The sequence below is a fragment of the Homo sapiens genome, chromosome 10, assembly GCF_000001405.40.
Source record: "Homo sapiens chromosome 10, GRCh38.p14 Primary Assembly".
Classification (NCBI taxonomy): domain Eukaryota; kingdom Metazoa; phylum Chordata; class Mammalia; order Primates; family Hominidae; genus Homo; species Homo sapiens.
The window spans coordinates 493,896-511,587 of NC_000010.11; the positions used below are offsets into that span (position 1 = coordinate 493,896).

Consider the following 17,692-nt stretch of genomic DNA (forward strand, 5'->3'; position numbering starts at 1 on the left):
TCATCGTGCAGAACCGCCTGGCCCAGTGCCGCCGTCCTACCTCCAACTACAGGAGACACTTCAGATGCCCCAGCAGGGAGAATATCACAGCCCTGCTGAAGGGGGAGGAGGACAACTGGAATAAACAAAATCCACGTCACTTCCAGGATCTGAAAAGTCACGCTGGACCACCCCGAGGTGAGTGGCAGAGTGGTCTATCCCGAGTGCTGGGCCACAGGGGATGGTCATGAACACACACTATGTGACCCCCTTCTTCATCAGAAAGTGCTTTTGGAGAAACAAGAGAACTGCTAAGGCTATCAAAGATGGAATCACTTTGACAGCAGAAAGAAGTGGGCTAACCTCAGTAAACACAAAAGCGCATGCAGTCCAGAGTCCTAAACCCCAGGAGGAGGACATCTCTGTCAACAGAGCTCCATGGTCACTGTGTGTTCACACCAGAGTCAGAGGCGCGCAGTGACCTCAGCACCGGGGCCAACAGAGCCTCAACTTTCCACAACACATCAAGCATTATCTTCCTATTTTAGAAGCACACACTCCCTCACCCAGAGTCTGACTTTAAGTCTCTGCAGAATCATTTAAGCAGCTGCATAGTAGCTACGGCTTTCTGCTCAGTTGCCTTTTTAAGTCAAAGCTACCAAGAGTCAAAGCAATCCAAGAGGCTGCTCAACCAGTCAATATGCAGCATGAGAAAGCAAAGCTCAGAGAGAGGTGTAATGAGGAGGCTGCTCAACCAGTCAATATGCAGCATGAGAAAGGAAAGCTCAGAGAGAGGTGTAGTGAGCAGTCACGCCACCTGTGCCCATGTCAGGGGAACCAAGGGGATCAGAAACGTAAATTCTGCAGTGTTGGCAAAGATGTGGAGCAAAGGGAACCCTTGCACGCTGTTGGTGGGAGTGCAAAGCAGAACAGCTGCTGTGGAAAATAGCATGGAGCATCTTCCAAAACTAGAAACAGGACTCTATGATCCAGCAATCCCATGTCTGGGTAAATATCCAAAGGAATTTAAACCAGTGTAAGGGAGAGATACCTGCATGCTCACATCCACTGCAGCACTATTGACAATCACTTCGATGTGGAATTGACCTACGCATCCATCAGTGGATGAACAGAGAAATCATGGTGTATGGACAAAACAAATACTATTCAACTTAACGAACTAAATTCTGCCACTTACAAAAACATGGATAAACCTGGAAGATATTACGCTAAGTGAAATAAAACAGGCACAGAAATACAAATACTGCATGATCTCACTTACATGTGGCATCTTAAAAAAGTAGAATTTGTAGAAACAGAGTGGAATAGGGGTTAGCAGGGACTGGGGAAGGGGAAACAGGGAGATGCTGGTCAAGGGCACACACTTCAAGAAAAAATGAGTCAATTCTGGAGATCGAATGTACAGTGTGGTAACTACAGTTAATAACAATGTACCATCTGCCTGAAATTCAGTTAACAATGCATCATCTGCCTGAAACTGGGTAAGAGAATGGATCTTCTGTATTCTCACCACACATACAAATTAACTACAAGGTGAGGAATGTGTTATTAATAGCTTGAAGGGGCAGGAAAAAAACCTGAAATCCTTCCCCTCCTCCTCCCTAAAAACTATAGGTTTTGAATGTTGGTTTGTGTGGAAAAAATTCTGTTTCTTCTAGCGACTCTCTCAGTGAACAAAAAAAAAAAAATAAAGCATGCTGAAGTACAGTCACCCTTGGTGTCCGTGGGGGTGGGTTCCAGGGGTCAGGATCCCAAAGTCTGTGATGCTCAAGTCCCTGATAGAAAATGGCTCAGCATTTACATAGAACCCACATGTGCCCTCCCGTGTACTTAAAAATCTCTCTTACTCGCAATACCCCAATGTGACTGCTGAGTACACAGAACCCACAGTGCCCTCCCCATGTACTTAAATCTCTACATTACTCTCAATACCCCAAAGAACATGAGTGCTGAGTACACAGAACCCATGGTGCCCTCCCGTGTCCTTAAAATCTCTACATTACTTGCAATACCCCAAAGTGAGTGCTGAGTACACAGAACCCACGGTGCCTTCCCGTGTACTTAAAATCTCTCCATTACTCGCAATACCTGAAGAAATGTTGAGTGCATAGAACCCACGGTGCCCTCCTGTGTACTTACATCTCTACATTACTCTTAACACCCCAAACAACTTGAGTGCTGAGTACACAGAACCCACGGTGCCCTCCCGTGTACTTAAAATCTCTACATTACTCTCAATACCCCAAACAACGTTGAGTGCTGAGTGCACAGAACCCACGGTGCCCTCCCATGTACTTAAATCTCTACATTACTCTTAATACCCCAAACAACGTGAGTGCTGAGTACACAGAACCAATGCATGCCCTCCCGTGTACTTAAAATCTCTACATTACTCTTAATACCCCAAACAACATGAGTGCTGAGTACACAGAACCAATGCATGCCCTCCCGTGTACTTAAAATCCCTACATTACTCTTAATACCCCAAACATGAGTGCTGACTACACAGAACCCACGGTGCCCTCCCGTGTACTTAAAATCTGTACATTACTCGCAATACCCCAAACAATGTGAGTGCTGAGTGCACAGAACCCACAGTGCCCTCCCGTGTACTTAAAATCTCTACATTACTCCCAAATACCCCAAACAACGTGAGTGCTGAGTACACACAACACATGGTGCCCTCCTGTGTACTTAAAATCTGTACATTACTCGCAATACCCCAAACAACATGAGTGCTGAGTGCACAGAACCCACAGTGACCTCCCGTGTACTTAAAATCTCTACATTACTCGCAATACCCCAAACAATGTGAGTGCTGAGTGCATAGAACCCATGGTGCCCTCCCATGTACTTAAATCTCTACATTACTCGCAATACTCCAAACAATGTGAGTGCTGAGTGCACAGAACCCACGGTGCCCTCTGCTGTACTTAAAATCTCCACAGGCCAGGCACGGTGGCTCACACCCGTAATCCCAGCACTATGGAAGGCCGAGGCGGGCAGATCACGAGGTCAGGAGATCAAGACCATCCTGGCTAACGCGGTGAAACTCCATCTCTAGTAAAAATACAAAAAGTTAGCCAGGTGTGGTGGCGGGTGCCTGTAGTCCCAGCTACTTCAGAGGCTGAGGCAGAAGAATGGCATGAACCCAGGAGATGGAGCTTGCAGTGAGCTGAGATCGTGCCACTGCACTCCAGCCTGGGCGACTAGAGCAAGACTCCACCTCGAAATCAATCAATCAATCAATCTCTACCTTACTCACAATACCCCAAACAACGTGAGTGCTATGTAAATGGTGGGTGTACTGTATTGTTTAGGGAATAATGAAAAAGTCTACCCATGTTCAGAACAGGTTAGGCCATTCTTTTCTTTCTGAATATTTTCACTTTTAGTTTGGCTGCATCCAGGGCTATAGAACCCACGAATATGGAAGGCCAACTCTGCACCTTGGAAATTTTTAACATTCAGCAGGCAGGGGAAGGAATACAGGCTCTCCCCTCCCACACCCCTCATTACTTCCTGGTCATTCTGCTGTGTCGGCTGCTTCTCTGTTGACCAACTTCACAGTCTGTCTTCATCAGCAATGGGGCAGCTCTGGACAGGGAGAAGCAGGCGTCCTTCACTTGCGAACTGTTTGCTGCGGCAACGAGCTCAAGACCTTGTCTTCTTCCAGACGCTCATACAAGGAATCCAAACCGTACGTAGTGAGGATCAGTCCTGCCACACACAGCAATGTCTTGGATCCAGAGAAGCTGAACATGCAGCCAGGGCTCCTCTGACACACGTAAGACCATGCAGAGAAGCGTCCGGTAATGTTAGGGCACCTGGCTAGTTCCGCCATACAGATGGGATGCAGAGGAAGAATTTCTTGAAGCAACATTCATCATACATTTGGAGTTGAAATGCAAAATGCAAGCGCCAAAAAAAATTAGCTATTTTGGAATAGGTTGGGACAGGGAAAACATATGTCATGAGATGAAAAATTTTTTCTTGAGACAGGTCTGCCTCTGTTGCCTGTGCTGGAGTGCAGTGGTGCAGTCACAGCTCACAGCAGCCTTGACCTTCCAGGGCCAAGTGATCCTCCCACCTCAGCCTTCTGGGTAGCTGGGACCACAGGCAGGCACCACCACACCCGGCTAACAGTGTATTTTTTGTAGAGATGGGGTCTTGCTGTGTTGCCCAGGCTGGCCTCAAACTCCTCAAGTGATCCACCCACCTAGACTTCCCAAAGTGCTGGGATTACAGGCATGAGCCACTGAATCCAGCCTCTGTCATGCGTTTCATAAACACAGTACTTGAGTTTTCCCAACCTCTTGCTATCCAGCTGGCTTCCCCGGCTGCAGTGATGCTGCTGCTGTTTGGCATTGGTTGTCTCTTCACAAAGGGTGGGGAAGCAGATGACAGGGACACGCTGTACACCCAGGGAATGACTGGGCTCTAACAGGAGATGCCTCAGCTGAAGGAAGTCCTCAGAGCCCCTTGAATCTCCACACCTGAGTGAACTAATTCCACTCACAATCAGCAGTCCGGGCCACAGAAGCAGGCGCCAGTGGAGATGCTTGCCTCCCCTCAGGGGTCCTGCTGACAGACCCCACCAGGACGTGTAGAACACAGCGCAGTCATGCTTCTTCCTCCCTGCTGCCCAGGGGGCTCTCTCTTAGGGGGCTCGTCAGAGATGCACCTCTGTCAAGGGATGACTGACTTCCATTTCATTTACCTGAAGTTTCTGCCCATTCCTTCCCAGAGAATATAATTTTTCAATGAAGAAGTCAGCTCACCTCAAGACTCTGGGCTCAAGCGTGCCCCAACCTCCATCCCCAAGTACAAAACCTCCTCTCAGCTCCAGCACACCTCAGGATGAGCCAGGACCCCACTCACCGTTTCCCAGTAACACCCCAGGCCTGAAAAAAGCTACTGCTGTGTGGGCGAATTAAGGAGGCAATGCGCATTTGTTGAGTCCTGCCAGCTAATTATAGATAAAACAAGCTTTCTGAGAGCTGTGAATGTGGATTTTCTATGGTGTTACTTATCTGCATGCCGGCATTTCTCACCAACGCTGCTCTGCACCGCACAGCACTGCTGACTCGGAGAACAACTTCTGCTTTCCTTGAGGAATTCTCAACCACCAGTTTTCATGCAAGGCACTGACTATGAAAACTTCAGTCCTATTATTTTGTTATCCTTTTTCAGACTTTGAAAATGGGCTGCTCAATGAGAACAGTATGGCTGAACCCCACGATGGTCACACAGCTGAGGTTCACCACACGCGATGCTGACTGACTCCTTGTCAGCATTGCAGCCCTGACCCCTCAATGGCTACACAGCTGAGGTTTCCCACATGTGGTGCTGACTGGCTGCTCGTTGGCAGCGCAGCCCTGACAGCAGCATTTGCACTGTCACCTTCTCCCTGTGTGGACGGCTGGGCTCCCCCTCTGTGGACCGCTGGGCTGCATCAGTCTGTTTTCACGCTGCTATAAAGAACTGCCCAAGACTCTCTAATTTATAAAGGAAAGCAGTTTGATTGACTCACAGTTACACATGGCTGGGGAGACCTCAGGAAACTTATGATCATGGCAGAAGGCGAAGGGGAAGCAAAGGCCTATCTTACATGGCGGCAGGTGAGAGGGAGGTGTGCGAGGGGGAGGACAGGACCTACTGAAATAGTACCATATAATATCTGACAGAGCAGCCAAGGGCTGGTGGCTGCAGGTCGCAGGAAGGGAACACAGTTACCAAAAAAACAGATCTCGTGAGATCTCCCAATCGCGAGGACAGCATAGGGGAATCCACCCCCAGGATCCAATCACCTCCCCAGGTTTTGCCCTTGGCATGTGGGGGTTATGGAAATTACAATTCGAGATGAGATTTGGGTGGGGATACAGAGCCAAACCGTATCATGGGCTTTACTAACACCATTTTAAAGGAACTCTGAAATGTCTAGTTACCATCTGCCAAATTGTTGACTTTATCATAGAGCAAGCATGGATATGCCAGCCCCTCGAACTTGTTAATAGCCTAGGTGCTGACTAGGACTTATCTCCAGTAACCTGACCCTGCCACAATGGGACTGGGGAAGGGGCCCCAACCCTAAGCCCAGCTCTTGCTCGGGTGGATTTTGAAGGCAGACAGGGCCACTGAGAGCAAGTTCAGACCCAGGGAATAAAACTAGGGCCCCCTCAGCAAGCGCAGACTCCTGCAAGCCTTCACAGCAGATGTGGGTTCAGCTGGGCCCTCCCCTACATCTGTACCTGCCAGGGACCCCTGCAGGCAATGTGCCAGCTTCCCTGACAACCACCTCTGTGCTCATCAGCGTCTGGGGCAAAGGTGGGTTCAGAGCCAACCCCTGGCCTGTCTCAGGAGCAGGGCCCATGGCTACTTCTGTGTTCTCTTCCTGAGACCTGCAGCCACCAGCCCTTGGCTGCTCCAGCAGACGTTATACAGTACTATTTCAGTAGGTCCTGTGACCCCACAAGTCCAGGATACATGAAGGGAAAGTGACTGCTCCTTAGTAATTAATCAAACAAATACTGCAGCTTTCACTTGGCCCTTGTTTGGGAACACTGTACGTGCCTAGGTTTTACACGAGAATTTCCAAATGCCATAGAAATTATCCTGAACTTTATTTCCTCATTCATCCCCCAAATATTTAATACCTATTGTGTGCCATGCAATGGACAGAGTACATAAAACAGAAATCCTACACAAAACAAAGTGCACACGAAACACAGACACAATATCACCAAATGTTCGCTGGATAAAAGATTTAAAAAGTTGTATTTTAACTTAAAATCTTTTAAAAGCTGGAAATACAGGGATGCTTAATTCAATGACTCCAATGATTTTCTTAAACAAATCACCTCATCTGGGTAAGCAATGGATAACAAAACAAGACAGGCCAGGTCCCATCAGGACAGGAATGACTGCGATGTCTCCCCCCATAGGTTTCAGGCTTCAGAAAATGCTAAGATCTTTCTATCATCCTTAAAGCTATTTTTTTTCTGACAACCTTGCTGTGTAAAATAATGGCTCAGTCCCAAAAAGGCTTGTAGTTAATTTAAGAGGCCTGAGGTTTTCTTTTGGAGAGCGGAGGGGGCAAATGACCTACCAGAAGTTATATGTAATAAGCTCAAGTTATTCCAGAGAAGTTTGTACACACATTATGACTTTCTCTGAGGCCAGTGAGCTGCGGGCAACCCTCCAGGAAACACTGAGGCTTCCTGTGCACTAATTCACATTGTGTCAAAAATACTGAGTTGCAGGGAGGAAAGCAGAGATGATTCCTGGTGCAACATGTAAATGTGGTAAGATTTTGATGGTTTCACTAGCTATTTAAATAATAATGTTGATAGTACACACTTTAGTTTGTGGAAACATCCTTTCTAGAAGATCTTGCCCAACCTTTATTAAGTGGCAATAATTAAGAATATACTTTATTTAGAAGGCAAATAAAGTAGAATGTATGCAGTCCTATACTCATTGATACATTATGAGTAGAACTTGTTAAGATCTCTGCTTTGCAATACCAACTTTTATGAAACAAACCTGTTTATGTAAGCACATATGTATTCAAGGATTTTTATAATAATATGTTTATGAAAACACATGCGTTGATACCATATTACCCCAATTATAGAGGGAAGATGAGAATATCTGATCAGAAAGAATGGGGAGGCTTCATTTAAAATGAAAAAAAGGTCAATAATCAAAGTGCAAAACCGATCGAAGAATATGATCGTATTACAAGGTGACTTGCAGAACAAAGCAGTCCAGACAGGCAAAAGGACTGGCACGGAGAAACACAACTGAGTGAAATTACATTGAATTCAACACATAGGCACCGCAATATCCATTCATTCAGGAATATGCGTTACACACCGACCACAGGCCAGGCACTGTGCCAGGTATTTGGCAATATCAGAACACAAAACATAAAACCTCTGCACCTTCGTGGCACTTCAATTCCTGGCCAGGTGTGCTGGCTCACACCTGTAATCCCAGTGCTTTGGGAGGCTGAGGTGGGAGGATCACTTGAGCCCAGGAGTCTAAGACCAGCCTGGGTAACATAGTGAAACTCCATTTCTACAAAAAACAAAATTAATTAATTGGGTATGACAGCATGCACCTGTAGTCTCAGTTACTCAGTAGGCTGAGGTGGGAGGATTGCTCGAGCCTGGGAGGTCGAGGTTGCACTGAGCTATGATTCCACCACTATACTCCAGCATGGGTGATAGTGACCCTGTCTCAAAAACATTCAAATTCCCACATCATAGTTTTTACAACACCAATATACCATGCAACCATCTCCCTGATAAGCCCAATCATTTACTGGTCAATGCACAGAATGTGAAGATATTATGAGGCACACACAGGAACTAAACCTACATGAATTTTTATCTTTTGCTAAAATGAGATTTGGGTGAACTAAATAAAACCACCATGAGTGTTCAAAGGAAAATACTTTTCAAGTGAACTGAAACAAAAATTAAAATCTATGAAATGCAGCCAAAATAATGATGGGAAGTAAGCTCATAGGACGAAAGGCTCATATTCGAAAAAAGTAAGGTCTCAGGTCCATAATCTAAGCTTCTATGTTAAACTCAAAGCCAGAAAAAGACATCATAATGAGCACAAATCAAAGAAACTGAAAACAGAAAGGAGGAAACTCAAGTCACACCAAAAGCCTACGTATAAAAATTCCCAAGGGATCTACAAAAGTCAGTCCTAGATCCAATACCTGAGTTCAGCCAAGTCACAGCACACAGTCAAAGTGTACTCTACGTATTGGCAATTAGTATTTGGGACCTAAATGTTAAAAACAACACTATTTACAGTAGCTGTATAAAAAACACTTAGGTATACATTTAACAAAGCACACAGAGGATGTGTATGAAGAAAACCACAAAACACTGAAGAAAGAAAGGAAAGAGCTACCTCAACTGAGCCACGAGTCCAAGGAGAAGCGGCAACACAGTCAAGACACCAATTCTCTCCACGTTGACCAACAGACTTACCACAACTCCAACATAAATCCCGCCAGGACACTGACCTGCGGACTTACCACAATTCCAGCATAAATCCTGGCAGGACACCGACCTGCAGACTTATTACAATTCCAGCATAAATTCCGCCAGAACACTAACCTGCGGACTTACCACAATTCCAACATAAATTCCGCCAAGACGCCTACCTGCAGACTTACCACGATTCCAACATAAATCCCGCCAGGACACTGACCTGCGGACTTACCACAATTCCAACATAAATTCCGCCAGGATGCCTACCTGCAGACTTACCACGATTCCAACATAAATCCCGCCAGGACACCGACCTGCGGACTTATCATGATTCCAACATAAATCCTGCCAGGACTTTCTGTAGATGCAGACAAGCTAAAAGTTACATGAAAGGGAAAGAAACAGGACAATAAACGTTCCAATTTAAAAACTGGCAAAGATCGAACAGACACTTCAATGAAGTGGATGGACATAATAAGCACTCGGAAACTAAAAGAACTGACCACAAAAGAGAGTGGCAGTGCTACTATACATAAATTTAACAAGCAAAATAAAACTACAAGGGAGAAACAAATGGAACCAAGGGCTACAAAGATGTATCTTAAAGCTGGCGGAAAACCATGGAAGTGTTCCTAGCCTCTTTCTCTGAGAGCACCACCTGACCATCCAGGAGTCGTCACTGACAGACCCAAAACCAGTGGGTGCTAACCACAGCTTCCACCCTGAGAGGGAAGAGTCATTTGAAGAACATCCAGCAATATTCCTTCGGCTCTTACCCCTCTGCTGTGCCAAACACCGAGTTAACGTTTGCTGGCCTCTATATGCACACTGAGGTCTGCATTTGTAACCGCATTTTTACATCTTTCAGGACAGGACAATCCTCCTTTGTCCCCTATGGTTTTCATCACGGTTCTATATACACCTGAAAATCTCTGCCGCCTACATCAGACGTTTTGTCTAAACCCATTACTGTGACTTACCCTAAATTTACAACCATTGATTTCAATTCCAAGTCCAAAGACTCATTTCCACAGTAATTATTTTACTCAGAAATTAAATTCCAGATTCCTGATCACACTTAAAGTCAACTGCTTTCAACTTCTGGGTTATAGATACAACTGGTCTAATTCTGTAACCTGAGAGGATTTCATGGAAATACTCTCTCTTCATCTCACGACACACACAGGTGGTAACTGCAGCCTTCAACCTAACTGCCTTCCTAACCAGAGCATGAAAGAGCAATAAAGAGTATTTATCCCCATCTCCTTGGGCTGGAGACCCACAGCGTATCAATCACTGTCAAATCACTGTTGTGCAAAAATCAGTTCCAACGCCCTGTGGAGAATAAAGGCCACGCTGGAAGAGGCACGCAAGGGAAACAGCCGTCTGCCATGGGGCTCCCACCCCCGAGACGGCAAATCCATGCAGGCGTGCCGAGGCTGGCCACCCGCTGATACCCTGCTACCATGGAACTATTCCAGGCACGAACTACCTGGAAGTCCTGGGAGAGAAACCCAGCACACAATGTTGCCGTCAGACCTGCAGGTGTGATCCCTAGCACAGCCACCTTAGGCCGGGAGAGCGAGGATGGGACTCAGAAGCTGCAAGATGACCATGCAGAGAAGCACCCACGGCTCCGTGACCAAGTCTGACCATGCAGAGAAGCACCCACGGCTCCATGACCAAGTCTGACCATGGAGAGAAGCACCCACGGGCTCCGTGTCCAAGTCACAAGTGACAAGATGAGACGCTTCCCGTGTTCCCATGTTCTGTCACTTTAACACTAAAAATTTAGTACATCTTACTGTTTCCTAAGAAAGCATAAGGCCTGAGTAGCAGGTGGCCGCTAACCTGGTTCTTTTCAGCTTCATAACAGAAGGCAATAGCTATATAAACCAAATCGCACTATGGCTGCATCACGGCTTTCATTGCATGTCAAACCCTCAGCTCCAGCGGTGCTGACCCCGTCATACTCAGAGAAGAGGTGAGCTCTTCAATCTCCATTTCTCAACACTCCAAGCTGTTTCCATATGAGCTCATGTGACTCTCAGTGCTAGGTTCGTTCATTCATTCATTCATTCATTCAGCAAAACCGCCGTGAACCCGCGGGATCCCCACCCTGCCCTCCAAGGGATACTATTCTGATGGGACCTGTGTCCACACCCATATTACTGCAGCCCAGCACCCTTCCCGGAACCGTGTGCATCTCCCCAAAAGAAAACTGTACAGAAAACGGCAACGGGTCCAGTCATGTTCCGAGGAGCAATTCCAATTGCTGATGTTTTAAGGCAACAGACTAATAACCGGCACCTCATCAACACAGAGTCACTAACTTCCCAGCAGTGTCTCTAGTCCCTCTACAAGGATATACAGATATACACGCAGGAGCTATCTTAGGAGGCAACAAGACGCTCTTCAGGAAACAGGAGAAAGCAAAACATTTGAGGAACGGACAGGGGCATCTCCACCTTCTACTGCCACAATTTGTGTGTTAGTGATCAAGCCAAGGTTCTCAACCTTTCCAATCTATTAACCCCCTGCCTGAGGCTCTCGACTGATCCCCAGCTGTACTTCCTGGCAATAAACAACCTGCCCAGCTGTGATTCCTGTGTGCACCTGACACCAGGGAGATGGAGCTGCCTGCCCAGCGGTGCTTCCTGTGGGTGCCCCTGACCCCACAGGAGATGGGGACCACCTGCCCAGCTATATTCCCTCTGTGGGCACCTGACACCAGGGAGATGGAGCCACCTGCCCAGCTGTGCTTCCTGTGGGTGCCCCTGACGCCACAGGAGATGGGGACCACCTGCCCAGCTATATTTCCTCTGGGTGCACCTGACACCAGGGAGACAGAGCTGCCTGCCCAGCTGTGCTTCCTGTGGGTGCCCCTGACACCACAGGAGATGGGGACCACCTGCCCAGCCATATTTCCTCTGGGCGCACCTGACAACAGTAGGATGCTGCATGTGCCTACACTGACAGCTACAGCATCATCTCCTGCTGTAAAAACTCCCTTTCAGAGGTAACAGGACAATGGGGCAGGTTTTCTCCTGGAGAAGTAAAGAAGCTGAGAAATCCAGGGGATTAGGAACGCAGGTGACAAAAGGAGGTTGTGACATCTACACGATGTCACATTTGGCAGCACAAGGGAGTGCTGGTATGTGCTGCTAGGTACTGTTATTCCCAGAACCACCTCACACTGCATGGCATTGACATGCTTCCCATGCTCGTTACCCTTCGGAAGACACATTTAAATAACCTTGACTTGCTGGGATGCAGCTGGAGAGAGATGCCTGGAGACCACCAGCCCAGAGTCAAGGCTCCATTTTCTCCTGCTTGCAGGACTTCTGCATGAAGCTAAGGCATCCAAATGTGCATAAGATTTATGAAGAGCAGACAAGCTGCATGACATCTTCTGAGAGGGAAGCTGTGCCATGTCAGGGGTTGGGACAGCAGCAGCAAGGGGGATCAGCCCAAGGCCTGGGGAGAGGCAGTTGGGAAATCTCAGTGTGTGTAGCCCTGGGGTCTGAGGCTTTCAACTGTCCATGTGGCTCCCACAGCTCAAGTCCAGCGTGTGGTCATGACCCAGGGCAGGGCCACTCACAGAGCACAGTTCATCTCAAATGTGATGGGGACGCTGAATGATACGCCAACGTACCAGAATAGAATCCCCAGTACTCACATGCAGAAGGCACTCCCAGCAACACGCATGCCTACACCACCCTGCACCAAGGGGCTGGGCACTCCTGCAGTCTGCAGCTGCCTCCTATCCCCCAACACACAGTGGCCTCCCGGGACAACATTCTATTTGCCGGCCACAGCCTGGAGCCCCCAAAGCACGGAGGAGGGGCTTAGCGAGCCACGCAACGTTCCCACCTCACACCCAGGAAACGAGCCCCTCACTGAAGTGGGTCCTGCACCCGCCAGCTGTGCATGATCAGAGGTGTGAGGTTATGGACATGGTCACACACTGTGCACAGAGGTGTGAGGTCACAGACCTGGTCACCCACTGTGCATGATCAGAGGTGTGAGGGCATGGACCCGGTCAACCACTGTGCAAGACGAGAGGCGTGTGGTCAAGGACCTGGTCACCCACTGTGCACGATAAGAGGTGTGAGGTCACGGACCCGGTCACCCATTGTGCACGATAAGAGGTGTGAGGTCACAGACCCGGTCACCCGCTGTGCACGATGAGAGGTATGCGAGGTTAGGGACCTGGTCACCCACTGTGCAGTCAGAGCCATGCGACGTTACAGACCTGGTCACCAGCTGTGCCCAATCAGAAGCTTTTGAGGTTAGGGACCTGGTCACCCGCTGTGCACAGAGGCGTGAGGTTACGGACCTGGTCACCCGCTGTGTCCAATCAGAGACGTATGAGGTTACAGACCTAGTCACCAGCTGCACACAATCAGAAGCTTTCAAGGTTAGGGACCTGGTCACCCGCTGTGTCCAACCAGAGCTGTGCGAGGTTACAGACCTAGTCACCAGCTGTGCCCAATCAGAAGCTTTTGAGGTTAGGGACCTGGTCACCCGCTATGCACAGAGGCGTGAGGTTACGGACTTGGTCACTCGCTGTGCACTATCAGAGGTGTGTGAGGTTAGGGACCCGGTCACCCGCTGTGTCCAATCAGAGGCGTGCGAGGTTAGGGACTGTGTGCGCGGTGACGGACCTGGTCATCAGCCAAGATTCCTGATGTTTCCAGTGTCATCTCAGCTTCCTTCAAAACTTGAAATCTTTAGATATTTCCCAAAAGCTCGTCCGTCTTTGAAAACGATACATATGCGCACAGGTGAGTTTGTTCCCGCACATTCCTTTCAGTACTGACGATTGAAGATCGAAGGTTAGAGCATTCCAGCCCAGTGCCCATGTCCCACCCCATCTGTGAAAACCTGAGCACAATCAGAGGCTGCAGACAATCTCTGCATCATCCTCAGAAACTGTTCCTGACCATTCACCTGAGGCCACCAAGTTTAAATGAGGGGCCCAAGTTTTAAAAGACAGGAGAAGACTTTTCCACAATCTTTTTCTGAAGACAGAGTCCATGCGTTGTATCATCAGCACCATTTGTGCCTGTCCTGGTCAGGAAGAGCTGCAACCACGTCTCTGTGCTCTTCCAGTGCAGGGTGCTGCCCTTCCCTCCCTTTCCAAGCACAGAGCAGCTCCTGATGACCCAGCACCTCTGCTCAGCCACCTTCCCCCAACGCCTTCCTCCCTCACGCCACAGAGGAGCTCGTGCAGCCAGGCTTTCTGGCTCACCACCGCGATTCAGTCACTTACACCCTCATTCCAGGCTGAAAATCTCTTCTGAAAATATCCAAATCTTACCCATGTCAGGCTCCATCTTTTCCCCAGAGCCCCTCACCCACTCCAGAGCAGCATCTCCGGTGCCCGTGCAGCCTGGGCGCAGATCCACAGGCTCAGAGTGCCCAGGCCCTCAGCCCCTCCATGTGTGCCCTTACTCCCTTGCTCCCCAGCGTTAATGCCCCCATCCTCGATTTCCTGGTAGGCAAAAGGGGGTTAATTCTAACAGTGCTTACCTAACTGGATAATTTCATACCGCATCCGGCCCAGCATACTGCCTTGATAAATGACAGGTCCTGCTGCACTGTTACCATTGTGCTGGTTCCGGATTTCCTGTGAGCCGCTAAGCTCTTCGCAGCAAAGACCACTCAATGGTCTGGTCCAGGACTCTCTGGGATGGATGGATGGGTGAGTGGCTGATGGACAAGTGTGATGCTGAATGGGATCATGCAAAGCTGGCCCCACGTATTTTGGTCAACGTAAGAAAAAAGCCTCCCATGTTTGCTTGCTGCCACCCTAACCGCAGCGTCCAGAAGAAGCCACTTAAAGGCAACTGTACCGCACATACAGGAGATGGCGAGACGAGACTGGCTGGAGATGGGAAGTTGTGTACTACTGATCAGGGCTGCATGACCCAAAAAAGGCATCACTCGAAAACACGGCTGTTCCAACAGCAGTGCTGGAAGGCGGCCACTCTGACCCGACCGTCCACCTCCAGGGTCAGCCACCTGGCACCTCTTGGATGTCTCATCCTGGGCACCCCTTCACAGAGTAAATGAGCCTTTTAACTTCAGCCTGTCCTCGCTAGAACACTGACTCCCACCTCCCATGTCCTGAACCGGCCTGTTCCAGGGACTGCTGTGGACAGACGAGCAGGCCCAAGATATCTAGTGGCATTTCCTGGCAAGGACACTCACGATGCTTGACCATACAACTAGGGGTCGATTGGTTTTTTAGACTGACTGTAATTCCCTGGTGGCACGCGTGGATACTGATTCACCCGGGGAGGGGCATAGAGGAGACTGAAGGAAAACCCGTCCTAACCGCGCCAGGTATTCCCGCACGCACCGATATCTTCAGACTTCTGCAGCATCCTCCTCCTACAGACAAACTGAAGCTCAGAGACACTAAGGAGCTTGTCCAAGACCAGCAACAAGTATGTGAGCAGCTGGGATTCAACCAGGTCCTTCCCTGGATCCATCCGCGCTGCTCCCCCTCCCACCCCGAGGCAGCTCCAGATGGACACAGCAGGTCGGAACATCCCACACCCCAAAGACAGACTACGGAGCAGAGCCGGCTTCCGCAGCGGAAACTCACACACAGCCCATTCCCATTCTTGCCGAATATCTCAGGGACTCTGTGCGGTAAGGGCTGCAGGTGTGACCTCACTCTGCGCCAGGAGATCCGGGTGGTAGGCAGTGTTTTGGAGGGTGCTCGTCCAGACGAGAGAGAGGCATCTAAGGGGGCTCATAAGCAGATCCATGAGACACAGGACACCTCAGAGAAGGGCCGACAAACCCCACAAAGTCGCTCCCATCCTGGAGAGCAGCTTGGAGAGGACGGGGCGCCGCAGTCTCCTCCCAGCCCACGCTTCGGCATGGAGAGCAGCTTGGAGAGGACAGGGCCGCCGCAGTCTCCTCCCAACCCACGCTTCAGATGGGTCTCGCTGCAGCCTGTGGTGCTCATCAGGCTAAGCAGCAAGAGGAAGCTTCCCAGGGCAGGAGTTCTCCTTTCACAGCAAAAGTGGCACAGGCAATGCAGCAGGGCTACTTCAGCCCAGGGCTCAGGAACCACGGGGTGCAGCGCGGCCTGCAGCAAACCAGACACATCAGAAGCCAAGGTCCCACTTTAACATTCAGTGACATCGAACGGAGGGAGTTATCTGTAGCAATCGCCTTCCTGGGGGACCCGTACAACACGCATGACCACTGAAACTGACTGAGTCCCTTCTAGGTCCTGGGGGCTACCCCACTTTACACTCATTGGTTCCATTCACAAATCTATGTGGGGCAGTTGTTAGCCCCAGTTTAGAGATGAGGAAAATGCTGCTTGGAGAAACTAAATGATAAAACCAGACTTCAACACACCTTGCCGTCTCCAAGACCCCTGCTCTGTGTCCTAGGGTCTCAGGGGCTGGGTATTCGGCATTTTAAGTGACTAATCATAGGCAGTTTTCTTCTCTCCTGCACCTATATTTAGCCTGAACGTGCACGTACATGCTCAGCTGCAGGTGCACTGCCGTATGTGGACCAGCAACGCTCTTTCCCGCCTGGGGTTCTCGTGACCACCTTCCGGAAAGCTCTCGCCTGCTTTACAGCCGTGCCAGGCAGGCCTGGGCAGCCGCACAGTGAAATTACTGCAGGGTCAGAGCCAAGTGCTGGCTGAGATTTTAACAGCGAAGACAGCAGAGCAATGGGGATAAGCTGAACAAAACTCTATTGCAGCACAGACGGAAATCTAGAAGCAAAAGAAGCTGACACCCCTGAGAGAGCAGCTGACTGCATCTCACTGTGACGTTAACAGCAGCCTGCTGTTTCCAGCGCCTCCGTGTGCCGGGGTTTCCAGTCAGCATTTGTGTTTATCTGCTCTTGAGCTGCCTGATCAAACCTCCGTAAAGATCAGGGATATCTAAATTGACCCAATATCTGCATGCTGGCTGCTCAGAGCTGGTGGTGTGGGACAGCCAGGACATCACTTAGTCATACGGGGGCACAAACATGTCACTTGCCACTCATGTCTTTATCTCATTAAAACCTATTTTCTCCTGAATATTGACCACAGCAAAGTCTATTAGCCTTCGAGATGCAGTTGAAACATCGACGTGCTTTGTTCAAGAGGTTTAAGACACACGTAAGTCTTTCTTGCCATGCTCAATACACACAGCCGTTTCTGAAGTCGGTGTTTCTGGAACAAAAGCCTTGGCCTGCCCCAGTGAACATTCACGCTGAACACACTGTCGCGATGCTGCTTGGCCAGCCAGCAGGGGGCAGGAGAGAGCAGCAGGTGCCAGCGTGGAGTTCCTGCAAACTCGCCTCAATCAAGGGCGGTGTGTCCTGCCAATCCAGCGGCTTCCTCCAAGGGGAAGCGGCCTCTTCAGCTGCCACAGCACTGATTTCAGGCGGCTCAGCCAATGGGGCAACAGATTCAACAGAGTTCCATGTCGTTAAAGGAAAACTTCTGTTACCAGGCAACCTTAATATCAGATTCAACGTAAAATAACCAACAAGATTGTTTCCAAACCAAGGTGCTACTAGTGCCTTATCCTTCAATGCTGCTTAAACACGGAGAAGTATGAGGAAAAAAGAACATAGCATTTACTTCTTAAAAAATAACACGTCTTCCAGGTTCATTTTACCCATAAAGACTTAGAACTGTG

The 17,692-nt window shown here is 49.1% G+C and overlaps 1 protein-coding gene across 7 annotated transcripts in view, besides 2 other annotated features; it reads right to left on the minus strand.

Annotated features, from left to right (window-relative positions):
* The window catches only part of DIP2C (disco interacting protein 2 homolog C), a 415,468-nt gene that overhangs the window by 219,695 nt on the left and 178,081 nt on the right, over positions 1–17,692 (minus strand). The window lies entirely within an intron of this gene.
* Positions 5,784–6,730: an enhancer, noted in NCBI's record as "H3K4me1 hESC enhancer chr10:545619-546565 (GRCh37/hg19 assembly coordinates)". NCBI's record gives its function as "activates a minimal SCP1, AML or CMV promoter by ChIP-STARR-seq in primed H9 embryonic stem cells {active_cell/tissue: H9 hESC(primed)}" and the evidence as "EXISTENCE:reporter gene assay evidence [ECO:0000049][PMID:30033119]".
* Positions 13,062–13,641: an enhancer, noted in NCBI's record as "OCT4-NANOG-H3K4me1 hESC enhancer chr10:552897-553476 (GRCh37/hg19 assembly coordinates)". NCBI's record gives its function as "activates a minimal SCP1, AML or CMV promoter by ChIP-STARR-seq in primed H9 embryonic stem cells {active_cell/tissue: H9 hESC(primed)}" and the evidence as "EXISTENCE:reporter gene assay evidence [ECO:0000049][PMID:30033119]".